The sequence below is a fragment of the Homo sapiens genome, chromosome 8, assembly GCF_000001405.40.
Source record: "Homo sapiens chromosome 8, GRCh38.p14 Primary Assembly".
Classification (NCBI taxonomy): domain Eukaryota; kingdom Metazoa; phylum Chordata; class Mammalia; order Primates; family Hominidae; genus Homo; species Homo sapiens.
The window spans coordinates 118,616,250-118,631,237 of record NC_000008.11 but is presented as its reverse complement, the minus strand read 5'-3'; the positions used below and the strand labels follow the sequence as shown (position 1 = coordinate 118,631,237).

Below are 14,988 nucleotides of genomic sequence, written 5' to 3'. Positions count from 1 at the left end.
TACTGTGACCTTATGAAAGACACTGAGCTGGAACCACACAGCTAAGCTGCTCTCATATCCCTTGAGCCACAGAAATTGTGTGAGATGATAAATGTTTATTTTAAGCCGCTGTTTCATTCAGAGTTCTCCAGAGAGACAGAAGTGATAGGATATATATATATGTATATATATATATACACACATACCTGGTTATATATATATATTGCCTGGTTCAAAAAAATATATATATATCCTATAGATATATATATAAATATATAGGATATATATGTATATCTTTTAGTTATTTTAAAATGTACAGTACATTATTGTTGACTATAGTCACCTCTGTGTGTGTGTATATATATATATGTGTGTGTGTGTATGTGTGTGTGTATATATATATACACACACAGAGGTGACTATAGTCAACAATAATGTATTGTACATTTAAAATAACTAAAAGATATACATATATATATATATATATATATATATATATATATATATATATGCAGAGAGAGAGGAAAAGAAATTTATTAGAAGAATTGGTTTACTCGATTACGGAGGCTGAGAAGTCACGATAGGACATCTGTGAGCCCAAGAACCAGGAAATCTGGTAGTGCAGCTTAGTCCCAGTCTGAAGTCCTCAGAGCCAGGGAAGCTGATGGTGTAATTCTCAGTCCAAAGCCAAAGGCTGGAGAGCCCATGGGTCCACTGGTATAAGTCCTGGAGCCCAACAGCTGGAGAACATGGAGTTCTAATGTTCAAGGGCAGGAGGAGAAGAGAGGGCAGCTCTAAGGGAAGCTCTAGAAGACAGTGAATTAGCCCTTCCTATACCTTTTTGTTCTATCCAGACACTGCACTGATTGATTGGTGTCCACCTACATTAAGACCAGATCTTTCCCACTCAGCCCACAGGCTCACATGCCAATCCCTTTTGGAAACACCCTTACAGACACACCTGGGGCAACCCAATTATTGGAATCAAATCCCAAACCACCTGGGTTTCCCTTTCAGCAGATGATGGACAGGCTCAGTGCCTACTGAAGCCCTGGTAATAAATAATGCTTTAGCAGCTATCTGTGTATCTCTTCATCCAGTCAAGTTGACATCACAAATGAACTATCACAGTCACTAAATTTGGGGATAATTTGTTGGATAGATAAATAACTTGCCCTCAAAAAGACCTGGTGAGGGATATTGTCCATTTTATAGATGAGAAAACCAAGGCCAGAGATGTTAATCCTTTTGCTTTAGTTCACCCTGCTGGTTTGTAAAGAGGCAGATTTTGAACTCTGATCTATGTTTCCAGGGTCCAGGGTATTTCTACTGTATCACTGTGTGGAATCAATTAATATATCCAGCACATGTAAGGCAGCATCTATAAGAAACCACAGCTTCGGGGAGGCTTTTTGTGTGTCTGTTATTGTCTTTTATTTTATTTATTTATTTATTTATTTATTTATTTATTTATTTATTTATTTTTTGAGACAGAGTCTTACTCTGTCACCCAGGCTGGAGGGGAGTAGTGTGATCTCGGCTCACTGCAACCTCTGCCTCCTGGTTCAAGCAATTACCCTGCCTCAGCTTCCCAAGTAGCTGGGACTACAGGCATGTGCCACCATGCCTGGCTATTTTTTTGTATTTTAGTAGAGATGGGGTTTCACCATGTTGGTCAAGATGGTCTCGATCTCCTGACCTCATGATCTGCCCACCTTGGCCTCCCAAAGTGCTGGGATTACAGGTGTGAGCCACCATGCCTGGCCTATTGTTGTTGTTTTTTTGAGACAAGCCCAGAGGAAGAGAATAAGGAACCTCTAAGCATCCATAGAAGGGTTCTACAAGGAAGGCAGAGATGACCTTAACAAATACACCACCACATCACCGAAGATACCTAACAGATACTACTCTATTAGCATTTAAAAGTGTGGGGCAAAAATTAGCCAATAATTTTCCCCAGCCCCACAAGGTTCATATTTCCAGCTTTTAGGATCCCTGAATAAAACTAGACCTTGCAGAGATACCTTTTGAATGCCACATTTTTCACTAAAAGTTATCACAGGCTAGAAAAGGCCAGTCAAAGGTGAAACCCAGGGCTGCACCATGCTAATACTTGCCTTATCTCACAAGGCACATCTTAGGTGTGCTGTGTCCTTTCTCTCCCAGCTGCGATCTAAATTATCTCCTAGGTCCCATTTTTCTTCTACTTCTTTGAGTTTTCAGACATTAGGATTGAGCCCTAGATCATGACTTCAGGTTTATGAGGACAGTCATCTGTCATCAGCACCTGCAGAGCCTTTTGTCTTTCTCTGACTGCATGAATTCCTCAGACTCTTACTTTCTGACAACTGATGGACTTTTCTCATCTCTAACCACAAAAGCCCAACTCCATTCTTTCTTTGTGCAACACCACAACATGTGGGGTTTTTATTCTCCCACAGGGAGAACAAGAAAGCATATGGCCTCCTAAAAAGAAAAGGTTCTTTATGTTTTTGGTCCAGCCTCTTTCCTTTATAAATTTCCCAGTCTCAGGTATGTCTTTATTAGCAGCATGAGAATGAACTAATACACCTTGACTTTTGGATTGGCCCTATGACTTGATTCAACACATGATGTAAGAGAAGTGAAAGTGCTGCAGTTCTGAGACAGGGCTTAAAAGCCTTGCATATTTCCTTTTTCTCTCTTGCTCCTCTGCCGTTAGCTGCTGCCCCTTTAGCCTGAGGCAGAGTTCCCCAGCTTACTCAAAAACCTGCAGCGAGGAGCAGAGCTGCCCCAGCCTCCTTGACTGAAAGCTCAGCCACCAAGCCAAACTGAGCCCAGTGGAACAGAAATCTCTCCCCACCACATCCTCTAAAAACAAAAACAAAAATCAAACCACCAATGAAGAACCTTGGCCTGAACCTGGGTTCTAGACATTGTTCTGCTATGATGTGATCCTGGCAAACTTTTTTGGTTTTCTGCCTCAACTGTGAAATGATAGGACTTAGAGTAACTTGCCTCTAAGTCCTTTCTGAACAGATTCTAGGTTAGAAAAAAAAAGCCTACTTCTAAGAGTATAAAACATTAACACAAACACAAACAAAATACTAACCTGCAGTTTAATTGGGAAAAATAAACACATTTATGATTAGGTAGTTTACTCATGTGCTCCTTCAGTCAGACAGTACTTACAGATACATAATACATGTATTAAGTATGTATTGTTGGGCCAGATACAGTGCTAGTGGTTGGAAGATCAAAGGGGAGCAAAATCAGAGTCCATTCTTAATCCGATGGAATTAGTGGGGATACTGACACTATTTAAATGAAAATAATAAATATATTCCTACAAACTGATATGAGTGTTGTGGAGAAAACTAACCCAGAATGGGAGCCTAAGAAAAACTTTGCTAGGGCTTGTAGGCTTTAACCAAAGAGTAAAGGGATGCAATCAAATGACTTCAAATTGGAGTGAGATGATTAGATTTGGGTCATACCATTCTGTTTGCTGGTGGAGAGAAGCCACACTGGGGAAGAATTGTATGCAGATAGACTAATTAGTAAACTACTGAAATTAGTAGTGGTCTTAGTGAGAGAAAACCGTAGCTTAGACTTGAAGAGTACTGAAGATGAATATCTTCTAGCTAAAATCTTCCATTAAGATCACTGTACTTTAAGCTCATTCAAGAAAAGTTTCACTCTTAGAGAGTTCTTTTGCCCAAATAAGGTGGGATTTTGTTGAAATTCCCGATATCAAATGAGATTCTTCCTGTCAGAGTGCATTTCAATATATTTTTGGAAGCCAATAGGGTAAGTGGCACTTTTACACCTGATGAGAAAGTACATTGAGATGGAATGAAAAAAGTACTGAATGCAGAAGTCTCAAGTGTTGAATTCAGGCTCTGTCTGGGTGTATAAATTTGGGCTAATCATCCATCCTTGCCCAGCCTCTGTTTCATACCTATAAAATGAAGTAAATACTATCCACTGACAGCCATTGTAAAGATAAAATGCAATAATGTATGTGAAGGCTCACTGTACCCTATATAATGATTAAAAATATAAAGTTTATTAGGTAATTATTAACAGAGGAACAGAAGGGAAGGGAAAGGACTGGTCAAATAACTACAGTAAGCGGTCAGCTTTAGCATCTCTGCCTAGTAAAGATTTCTGGTCATTTTGGAAGTAGTAGTAAAAGGGAGCCCATCACACCTTAAGTTTTTAAACATCTGGCATAGAATAGTTCAGTTGTGAAAATAAGTTGCATCTCTTCTAGTGTTCTCTTGTGCTGATGTGTACCAATGACAAGTAATTCCAGATGACCATTCCTATGCTTTTACACACAGTTTACAATTTCCCCTGGTTGGGGAAGTAGGGGCAACTCTGCTCAGAAGAGGTGCTGCAAATTTATTAGGTTGGTGCAAAAGTAATGGCAGTTTTTACCATTAAAAAAAAAAATGGCAAAAACTGCAATTATTTTTACACCAACCTAATACTTCAGGGTTGGAAATCCAGAACACAGAAAGTTTGTATGCAGTCAGCCACTAGAGCCTACAATAATCCCACACTCTTTTCTATCAACAAAACCTATCCAAAAAGGGACAAGTGTCCAGGACACTGCTCTTCCATGGCACAGCCCTGTTTTCTTGCCTGTCAGAGGAGGCTCTGCATTGATCAAGTTAAGTTCATTCAGTGGCTTAACTACAAGTCGGACTGGGCAGACTTACTCCACACTTGGCAAATATCCTGAGGCCCTTGCTACTGCTTAACTGAATTATATCCATGTTCTTTGGGAATGGCCTCTCAGGCTTCCATGGATGATCAAAAGAGCAAACACTTATTGGGCATCCATTATGTGCCAGGACAGCGCACAACACTATAGATACTCTCTCAGTCACTGCTGAGCCCCAAACTGTGAGCTAGGTAATGTATACATTACACAATTAATAGCATTACAATACATGTGGGAAAACCAAGGCACAGAAATGTCAAAGAACTTTGCTAATAACCAACATCGAGTAAATGAGAGTCAGGATTACAATCTAGTTCTGTATGTCTACGAAACTTGAGTACTGAAGCCAAATATTCAGATAACCAGTTAATATAAAGGTAGACAGATTCTGCTCAAATTTTGAAGACATAATTTAAGTCTGATTTTGAAAGTATAGTTTAGACGAACGATGGTATAGAATATCACCAACTTATCAACAAACAGATAACACACAATGCGATTTAATTATGCACAATGTGATTTAAGCAAAAACAACTAGGCTTTTGCTTAAATCATGTTCCCTGAAATATGCTTACTTCCTCCAATGGAAGCCTGATATAACTTGAATGGTTGGCACTTTATTCATGACTCAAGGATTAGAGTTAGTATTTTTTATCTTAATTACAAAAAAATTATTTTTTTCCTCTCAGTTCCTCCTGTCAAAAATTTTACTTTTTAGGGTTTGAATCCTTTTGGTTAGGTTTAGAAGATCTCCCTGAACAGAATAGAAACATAATCTATTTACTTTTTGAGATTTATGAATGTTTTCTGTAGAGGCTTGTGAATATAGCAACCGAGTTAGAACAATAAATACAGTAAAGTACTTATATGTACTATTTTAAATCTTAGAATCCAGTGAAATCTGTAGCCTCATCTCAATATTTCTTTTTTTATTTAATTCACTATAAGGTAATGGGCTTTTCCTTCCCTTTCTGTGCTCTCTGATATATTCAGAAATTTTTGAATCATTCTAAATATCACAATTTCTGATATTAAAATATTTTAAACCCTTCATTTTATTAGTAATGACAATTCCTATTTGGCCAAGTGCTTATGAATTCAGATTTGTGATCACGTAATCAGTATTGAAATCTAGATGGAGTAACATCACAGAGTTCTACACTTAGGTAGACCTCAATCCCCTTGCTACAATTCATGTTTTGGAGACATGGGGCAAATTACTTAAATTCACTGAGCTTCAATTTCCTCATCTGGAAAATAGTGATATCTGACAATATTGTAGTGATTAAAGGAGATGATGTATGTCAAGATGCTTAGACAGAGCTTGGCACTTGTAATTTCCCAACAAATGCTACTTATAACAAGGATAAAAAAATAGTAGTAATAAATTATCTATTGAGTACTTACTATGTAACCACAATTATGACCAAGAATCTGGAAGATATGAAGCATAAGACTCAGTTCCAGCACTCGAAGTGCTTATATACTATAAGGAACAAACAATAGCATCATAATGAACACAGAATTTGGCTTATGAGAGGTATGGGATGAGGTCTGGACTTTGCCCCTTGCTAAAATTGGGTATATCTGTTAGGAACTGTACTTGGCTGCTGATAAAAAAGACCAAAAATAAGTCATGATTGCAGTCTGTGAAAGATACTAAAGCAGAAGCTAAGCTGTGCCCAAATTACTGAGCCACAGAAACTGAAGTAATACATGGGTATTGTTGTAAACCACTAAATATTGGGATAATTTGTTAACAGCAATCGATTAATACATGTGGCTCATCATGTTGTTGTATACAATTGTAATTCCTTCATTTGCATTACTTTATAGGAGGGTTTGGAAAGCTTTTTTTCTGCAAAGGATCAGGTAGGAAATATTTGAGGCTTTGTAGGACAAGAGGCAAAATTGAGGATATTATGTAAGTATGTCTTTATAATTTCCAGGCTTTGCAAATTATACTTTTTTTGTTTTTTTTCCAACCATTTAAAAATGTAAAAATCACACCTAGCTGGTGAGTTATAAGAAATAAATGGTGAGCCATATTTGGCTCATTGGTCTTAGTTTGTTGACCCCTGCTATATGGAATTATTTGGTTATACCACAGTTCATCTCTCCAATCTGTGTTGATAAATATTTGAGTTGTTTTCCATTTGGGAACATTAAAATAATGCAGCCACAAACATTCTTGCACATGTCTTTTGGAGAACATCTGTATGCATATTTGTTTGGTGTAAACCTAGGAGTAGAACTTCTGGGTCACAGGATAAGCATATATTCAGCTGAATATTTCAGATGGTTTTCCAAAGTGGTTTTGTGAATTTGCACACCACCAGCAATATATAAATCTTTATTGCTTCACAATCTTGCCAACGGTTGGTATTTTGTGTCTTTATCTTTCAAACATTCTAGAGATAAATGTAATTTTTTTTTAGTACTTCCCAGGTGATTCTAATGTTCAGCCAGAATTGAAAACCTCTGCGCAACTATTGTTTATCCCTTATTAGGCAGAACCACATGAAATTGTTCTATTTGTAGGTTTTAAAAATGGTCAAACATTGGCTATTTCATATGGTAGAAACTAACATCTCCTTCACATTTTATTTATACTAAAAATAAAACTCGTCTAGAATGCACATCACTGGGAAAAATATTAAAGATGAGCTAAGATGAAGTTTTAAAATTAACCACAGATTTCAATGACTTTTATATTTTTATATCACCCAGATATTTAAAAGCTTGGAACCAGACCAATGGTTTTCACCCTCAATGAAGACTGGAATCACCTGTGGGTTTTTAAAACCTGAGTGCCTCTACCCAAACCCCCATAAGCTCTGATTCTGTGAGACTAAGATAAAAGCTTAGGAATATATATTTGTAGAAGGCTGATGCACAGCCAAGGTTGAGAACCATTGATACTACCTGTCCTATGGCTTTCTTTCACATTCATTCAATCTCAGAAAATACTTAACACTTTGGTGATTTTATATACATAAAGTAGTGAAGCACCTGGATTTCAGTTCTTTCCAGAGTTTAGAATGCTTGGCTGTGTATTAGGTCGGAAAATTCTTTTTCCCATGGAAATTATGTCTCACTGAATGGGTCTCTCTCTACTGTACCTAAAAGAGAGGCTTAGGTTTGACTTGTACACAGCTCCATGGACTCAGAATTAAAGTATCAACAAGAGCATTTAATGGTTACACGCAGGTATTTTTTAAAGTACCTATACACATATTATTATTATATATTACCCAGTAGGGGAACTAAGCATGTAATTAGTGACCAGAACAACAGGTGTGCATGTATACACTGAGAAACGAAATTGTTTTGAAAAACATTTTTTTTTTTTTGCTGATGACCAAGACACACAAAAATGTCTAAGTAGTCATCATGGGAAGAATCCGATTTTTGTACTTCCTCATTTTACAGAGATTAACATTATATATGAGTGACTGGGTGGATGTGGTACCAAATACATTTGTAAACTGAAGGCCTTTAAAAGTCAATCCAGTCTTGAGCCAGATTTATTCCCGAGGCTATTCCCTTACCCCTTCCAGCCACAACTGTATCCGTATTTTCACACGCAGGAAAAAATGTTTAGAAACTTAATTTTTACGAGCTGTCGAATTGTATTGCTATCCACGTGATTCCCATTATCATGTCTGCTTATAGCATCCCCAGCACCTACAGCTAGGACATAGGTTCAGAAGTTGAAGGAACCTGATTCTCAGGCACTGTTAATTATTAGGCCCTATCACAGGCTGTCAACAGGCTCCAAGTCTAGGCAAATTGAAAGCCTCCTATCCTGGAAGCCAGACAGGCTTTCATCTGACCTCCTCCGGTGCAATCCTGGCTCCCAGACTTTGTTCCTAACAACCCCTTGGGGACGTTGCCTATTGGGGTTTAAGCCACTCCTCCTCCCCTACACCCCCATGCCAAGTATTTAGCCACCTGAACCACCCTGTAGGATAAGACAACTGTATCAACCGTCGGAATTCCCCCACAAAACCCATACATCTCAGGGTGCGAAGGAACAAGTTTCAACCTCACCCTGGGCAGCGTTCTCTGGCCCAGGTGGAGAACCACACAGGAGGACAGTGGTCCTGCTCTCCCTACTAAATGGTGGTTCAGGAGGCCAGGGGGCGGGGCGGTACCGGCGGCAGAGGCCCACGGACGAGCTCGCAGGAGCTCATCACACAGCTGACCGTCACCTGCCCACCTCACCACACCTGCTAGGTGCCAAACCCCTTGTAATGGACAGGGAAGGGCTCAATCACGGGTCCCTACTCTTAGCAGCGAACCTATCTCAGCGCACGGCCTCCTGGGAGATGTAGTCCAGACCGCTTCCCGGGAACCCCCCCCCCCTCCCCCCCCGCCCCGCCACAACCAGGCATCCCTGGTCCCCTCACAACTTCCCCAGGAGAGATTGCTCGGCCTGGCCAGCTGAAGCTGGAGTTGCTCTCCAAGTGTCGGGGCCAGGCGGCACTCCGCGGAGGAGTCGGGGTGCTCTCCCCAGTCCGAGCGAAGGGAGGGAACTACACTTCCCAGGACGCCCTGCGCGCGCCGAGCCGGGAGCCGGCTGCCTCGCTTTGCGTGACCGCGGCAGGTTGGTCCTGGAGCAGATAAGCGCAGAATATTTAGGCGAAAGCGAGAGGAAGGGGGGAGCGCGGGGCAGGAGGAGTACCTCGGCCAAGAAAATTATGCATGCGTTAGGGAAGCTCTGAGAGAATGGCTGTGGAAGGTAAGGGACGCTTGGGGCATTTTTAAGCTCCCTCTTAACCCGCGCACCCCAAGGCACACATCCCCGATGAAGCTTGGCGATCGTGGGGAGGCGAGGAAAGGGGGTGGCGGAGAGCGGGCCCCTTCCTCCTCCACCTCTTGGCACTCACCTGCGCCGCCAAGGCCAGTAGGCGCTTTAATTCAGTTGCTTTGGAGAGACGTGAAGGGTAGGTGCGTAGGACTTTGAGGTAGGAGGTGTGGAGACGAGTGTCCCTGATGCGAAACGATATCCTGGAAATGGGGGGAAAGCCGGAGGATCCGGCATGAGGTTTTGGCCCCGAGATGCCCTTTTTCCCTGCCCCCTCCCTCCGGAGCAGGCTGGGTGGCCCCGGGGCTGGGGATGCTTGGTTGGCCCCCCTCACGTGGGAGAGGTCCCCAGCCCAGGTGCGTCATCCGGAAGCTTGGACTGGGATTGGGTCGAGGGCCCTTCGTCCTATGCACCCAGCAGCGGCGGCCGCAGATGTACCCAGAGGGTAGAGGTGTCCCTACACCTGTCTCTGCTTATACAGCCAGCGCCCCGGGCTTAGCAAAGTTTACAGACATGAAATGTAATCAGCCAGGGAAAAGAAGTGCAACAACCTCTTCGATTTGGGTGAATCCTTTTCTTTGAAGATCACTTTCTTCTTACAGTCTTGAGCTTCGGCTTTGCAGTTTTGACCGTAAAGTCCTGCCTCCCTTGAACTTCCTGGTTGAAAGCAGGGTCAGGCTGTTCGTGAGGGATCCTGAGTTTTTCATTTCAGGTTATCTTACCTTGGAACACAAACTTCCTTGTTTAGGTAGTTTCTGAAGAAGAAAAAAAAACTGTGGACCGGAAGGGTTTGTGATGTCACATTAGAGGTCAAGCTGTGCCTGAATGATGAAATGATTGTGGGACGAAATGGGAGCCTACATTCACCTGCAGAATTTTGGTTTCTGAGTGCAGTCAGGTCAGAGGGCGTACTGAAGTAGGAAGAGGAGGGCTTGCCTGCCAGCTGCTTCAGGCGCCTTGCCAAGGGGAAATCAGCCTATTCCTTGTAGGCTAGAGACGAGAAGGCCACGAGGCTGGCTTGCTGCTCCCTCTCCTCCCTGCCCCAGGAGAAAGAAATTGAACTAATCTGACTCTTGCTCCCCTTATAACGACTGTCTTAACAACCTGAAGTAGCAACAACCCAGCTCCTATACTCAGCACCCATAAACTCGGGAAACTCTTGCCTTTGGGCTATCTCAGGTTCAGAGATCCACAGCCAGCCACTTCCAGCTTTCCTAACTTTATTAACAAAAATGAAATCCTCTCTCTCTCTTACAATCAAGATTTTTCTAGGTTTTCTTTTCTGTGCAAATGTACCAGTAGGGTGAGAATCTTTTTTTTTTTTTTTTTTTTTTTTTTGCATCGTTATGCTTGATAGTCAAGACTTCAGATGCCAAAGAACAAAACAAAAGCCGAGATAAAGTTCATCTTGAGCTTGAGACCAAGGATATGTTGACCTACTCCTTAAGTGTCCGTTCTATGTCACCCATCAGGTGACACTGATTATGATCTCTCGTCTTCACCACTCCTGTGTCCCCAAGACAGGGACACTCCTCTTTGTTGCTAGTCCACACTGTTCTCGAAAACAATTTCTTGTTCCCTGTAAGAAGTATAAATTTGTCTTATTTCTTGCGTGATGGGTGATTACACCAGTGAAGCCAGACTTTACAAAAACAAGAACTTAGGAAGGAAGTACATGTGGACTATGGAGAGTTTATTTTCTAGTGACTTGGTTAAAGTACCTGTCTAGTAAACAGGAGATCCTGAGTTTGAATCACAATGAGGTCTCAAAGAATGAAGGAAGTATTTTAAACTTTAACTTCAAATATGATTCCTATCTTTGGTCTTTGCAAAGATATCAGCCTGGACCAGTCCCTTCCTGGTTACTCCTACTTGGTCTTTCAAGCCTTTGGGAAAATGTCACTTCCTCTGGGAAACTGTCCCAGCCCTCCTTTTTCTTCTGCCTTCTCAGCACTCTTTCCAGTCTATGGGAAGTGCCTCCTGCTCACATTTATCTTAATACTTATCATACTTAATCTGCCTCTTACTAGACTCTAACCCCCTTGGGGGTTAGACTTGGACTTTATATTCCTAGCTCATAGCACAGTACTTTGCCCATAATAGGTACTCAATGCTCATGAATTGCATGGCAAATATATTCATGGAGGTTTTGTAACTGGTTCTATAAGGGTACATGGGGCTTTCTTGGAAGCCTAAATGTGATACAATAAGGGATTTCTGACAGATTTGAGGATGGGAGATTTTTTTTTTTTTTTTTTTGAGACAGAGTCTTGCTCTGTCGCCCAGGCTAGAGTACAGTGGCGCGGTCTCAGCTCACTGCAAGCTCCGCCTCCCAGGTTCACGCCATTCTCCTGCCTCAGCCTCCCAAGTAGCTGGGACTATAGGCACCCGCCACCATGCCTGGCTAATTTTTTTGGTATTTTTAGTAGAGACGGAGTTTCACCATGTTAGCCAGGATGGTCTCGATCTCCTGACCTCGTGATCTGCCCACCTCGAAGTGCCCTTCTCTTCAGTCTTTTGTCTTGATGCCCAAAAAATCTTTTAGAACAGTTTACCTCTACTGCTGGGTGACATTGTCCCTGGACACATTTGGGATATGTAGGAACTGCTGCTGGGGGCTGCTGTTGGTATTTTGTGCCCATGGCCACAGATAATAAATGTCCTGCAGCGCATGGCCATCCCGTATAACGAGGCCAAGCCATGGCCAAGTAATGATCAGTTTACCCAACTTATTGAGAAATGCTGCTTCAGAGAATAAGGAGTTTTGCCAGAGGAACTGGAATAGAAAATACAGTTCGAATTGCTTAACATTCTAAGCTTTAGTCTCCACATCTGGAAAAAATGGGCTCACTACTGCTTTCCTCCTGGGAACATTGTGAGGATTTTTTTTTTTTTTTTTGAGACGGAGTCTTGCTCTGTCGCCCAGGCTGGAATGCAGTGGCGCGATCTCGGCTCACTGCAAGCTCCGCCTCCCGGGTTCACGCCATTTTCCTGCCTCAGCCTCCCGAGTAGCTGGGCTACAGGTGCCTGCTACCACGCCCGGCTGATTTTTTTGTACTTTTAGTAGAGACAGAGTTTCACCATGTTAGCCAGGATGGTCTCCATCTCCTAACCTCGTGATCCGCCCGCCTCGGCCTCCCAAAGTGCTGGGATTACAGGAGTGAGCCACCGTGCCCTGCTCATTGTGAGGATTAAATAAAGGAGAGGGCTTCTAGAAGGGTGTCTGGAACCTGCATCCTAAGTAAATATCACTTGTACTCTCATCCCTTCTCTTAGGAAAAGCTATACTATTTGGCATGTGTTTTATATCCTGAATTTTCACTTATTCATGCCAGCCAGTTTTTCTAATTAGTAACAAATTAGAAGGTTTTTTACTATGTGTAACTTTTTCTTAAGTAAACTTGAATTTGTAAAAGTGTTACTAGCAAGTAGTTCACTCATTCACTTTGCTGAACCTGCAGCCGTGTGTTTAAGATGAAAAAGAGGTGCCCTTTGTTTATTGTTTTGTAACTACCCTGTGTTATGTTTTCTTCTTAGTTTATTTGCAACATCCTATTTATGTCTCCTAGTCTGCTTGTGACCCATGCTTTGCATTTATGGGCAGCTTACAGGTATGCTTTCCCGCCACAGAACAGGGTACGACCTTATGGTCTGCATTTGGATTAGGATTATACTGGCATACATTGCCTTTTTTTAAAAAAAAAAAAAACAAAAACAATGTCTTGTGAAATAATTTAGCAGGACTGGGGACTAGGACCTCTTGGAAGGAGGTAGCAGGGACCCCAAACTAATCCATTCTCTATGGACAGACTGTGTATAGACGGTTAAACCTATTGATGTTTTCTAACAGAAATGGGTTGCAATATTATTCAGGGAGAAGAAAAATGTGGATTCATTGGGGACAGTGTCGTATTCATCTTTGTATTCATCTCTGTATTCCAGGGATGGCGCCTGGCACTTAGGAGGCCCACAGTCATTGTTTCATGAATGACATATAAATGCACGAGTCTCCAGAGCTAGAGAAGGATTTTTTTTTTACCCCTCATCCCCAATTCCTTTTCTTGCTTTGTCCTCAGATATTTATGAAAAAAATAGGGAGGATGGACATTGTACATGGTAATTTCTATTCCAGGTCTAACAGAATAGCACCTCTCATGTGGCAGAAAAATGATTTCCAATATTCAGCACTCACCTCTCTCCCCAAGAAAAACATGTCAAATGCAAGACTGTGTGCTCTTAATGACATCTATATTAAGGGATCTGAATTTTCCATCATAAATGAACATGGTAGCTTACCAAATATCTTCTGATAAGTCATTCAGTGCTCAGGTTCTATGTTTTTTCTCCTGTAGAAGAGTGAAGAAACTACACATCACCAAAATATTGTAAGGCTAAGTAATAATAACGGTGACTGGGAAAATGGGAAATGAGATAGCGTCAAACGTTTGTGACAAATAGAAGCAGTCACGGTAAACACTGGGCTTTGCAGCCCCATAAATGATGACTTTGTACCCAACTTGAACTCAGAACTGCATCACAGAGAGTAAAAGGAGTCACATGGGAGATAAAAACATCATTTTTATCACAAGCTTATAGTGGGTTATTTTTTTCTGACTTTGGGTTGGAGGGTAAGTGGGCTTGCTAATATTGTATGCAGCAGTGAACTTACCCGTCATAGGGATGCCTCCCTCTATGCTAGTGGTCCTTAACCTTTTTGGCACCAGGGATCAGATTCATGGAAGACAGTTTTTCCATGGGGGATGGTTTTGGGATGAAACTGTTCCACCTCAGATCATCAGGCATTAGATTCTCATAAGGCATGTGCAACCTAGATCTCTCACATGTGCAGTTCACAGTAGGGTTTGCACTCCTCTGAGAATCTAATGCCTCTGTTGATCTGACAGGAGGTAGAGCTTGGGTGGTAATGCTTGCTTGCTCACTGCTCACATCCTGCTGTGCGGTGTGGTTCCTAATAGGCCACGGACTGATACCAGTTCACAACCCAGGGGTTGGGGACCCCTGCTCTATACCACTGGCAGCTGGAGAGCAGAGAGAACATGGGCTCCTGCAGCAGGCAGGTGGGACCCAAAGGAAGAGGTGGGGAACCTATGCTTTGTGCCTTTTCACAGACTTGCTCATCAGAGAGTTGATTTCTCCTCTCCTGAGGAGGACCCAGAGGGTAAAGAGGGAGACCAGAAGTGTAATTCTGATGGATTTCCCTTCATAGAACACAAGAAGCTCTGTCCTGCCTCTGTGTGATTCTCTTGGTGCTAGCTCACCTATGCTTTCCTAACTACCTTTTCTTGTTGGGAACATCATTATGAATGTACCTCTTCTACTGGTGGTACTTTCTACGGCAAGGACTATGTCTCATGTCTCATCCTTGAAGCTTGAATGAATGAATGGAGACAAATGAAGGAATGGGTGGGTTTATGACTGCTTTTGATTCCCACAGTAACTCCCATACACATTTAATGAGAACTTCCAA

At 41.9% G+C, this 14,988-nt stretch overlaps 1 protein-coding gene and 1 long non-coding RNA gene across 12 annotated transcripts in view, besides 4 other annotated features; one reads left to right on the top strand and one right to left on the bottom strand.

The window, feature by feature from the left end:
* SAMD12-AS1 (SAMD12 antisense RNA 1) overlaps positions 1 to 10,237 on the bottom strand; it is a 105,067-nt gene extending 94,830 nt beyond the window's left edge. Inside the window, exons 1-2 of the long non-coding RNA NR_038210.1 lie at positions 10,052 to 10,237; positions 9,583 to 9,703 (exon numbers count right to left, since the gene is read on the bottom strand). This is a non-coding gene — a long non-coding RNA (SAMD12 antisense RNA 1). The remainder of the gene's footprint in view (positions 1 to 9,582; positions 9,704 to 10,051) is intronic.
* Positions 8,933 to 9,082: a silencer, noted in NCBI's record as "silent region_19481". NCBI's record gives its function as "represses an Ori minimal core promoter by ATAC-STARR-seq in GM12878 lymphoblastoid cells {active_cell/tissue: GM12878}" and the evidence as "EXISTENCE:reporter gene assay evidence [ECO:0000049][PMID:35858748]".
* Positions 9,183 to 9,382: an enhancer, noted in NCBI's record as "active region_27840". NCBI's record gives its function as "activates an Ori minimal core promoter by ATAC-STARR-seq in GM12878 lymphoblastoid cells {active_cell/tissue: GM12878}" and the evidence as "EXISTENCE:reporter gene assay evidence [ECO:0000049][PMID:35858748]".
* The window catches only part of SAMD12 (sterile alpha motif domain containing 12), a 490,139-nt gene continuing 484,425 nt past the window's right edge, over positions 9,275 to 14,988 (top strand). For all 11 annotated transcript variants that reach the window (NR_146234.2, XR_007060733.1, XR_007060732.1 and 8 more), the window contains exon 1: positions 9,275 to 9,434. Coding sequence is in view for 8 of the 11 variants with exons in the window: in NM_001349811.2 (NP_001336740.1) it covers positions 9,422 to 9,434 (13 nt within the window). In the remaining 3 variants the exon portion in view is untranslated. The remainder of the gene's footprint in view (positions 9,435 to 14,988) is intronic.
* Positions 9,993 to 10,202: an enhancer, noted in NCBI's record as "active region_27839". NCBI's record gives its function as "activates an Ori minimal core promoter by ATAC-STARR-seq in GM12878 lymphoblastoid cells {active_cell/tissue: GM12878}" and the evidence as "EXISTENCE:reporter gene assay evidence [ECO:0000049][PMID:35858748]".
* Positions 10,233 to 10,282: an enhancer, noted in NCBI's record as "active region_27838". NCBI's record gives its function as "activates an Ori minimal core promoter by ATAC-STARR-seq in GM12878 lymphoblastoid cells {active_cell/tissue: GM12878}" and the evidence as "EXISTENCE:reporter gene assay evidence [ECO:0000049][PMID:35858748]".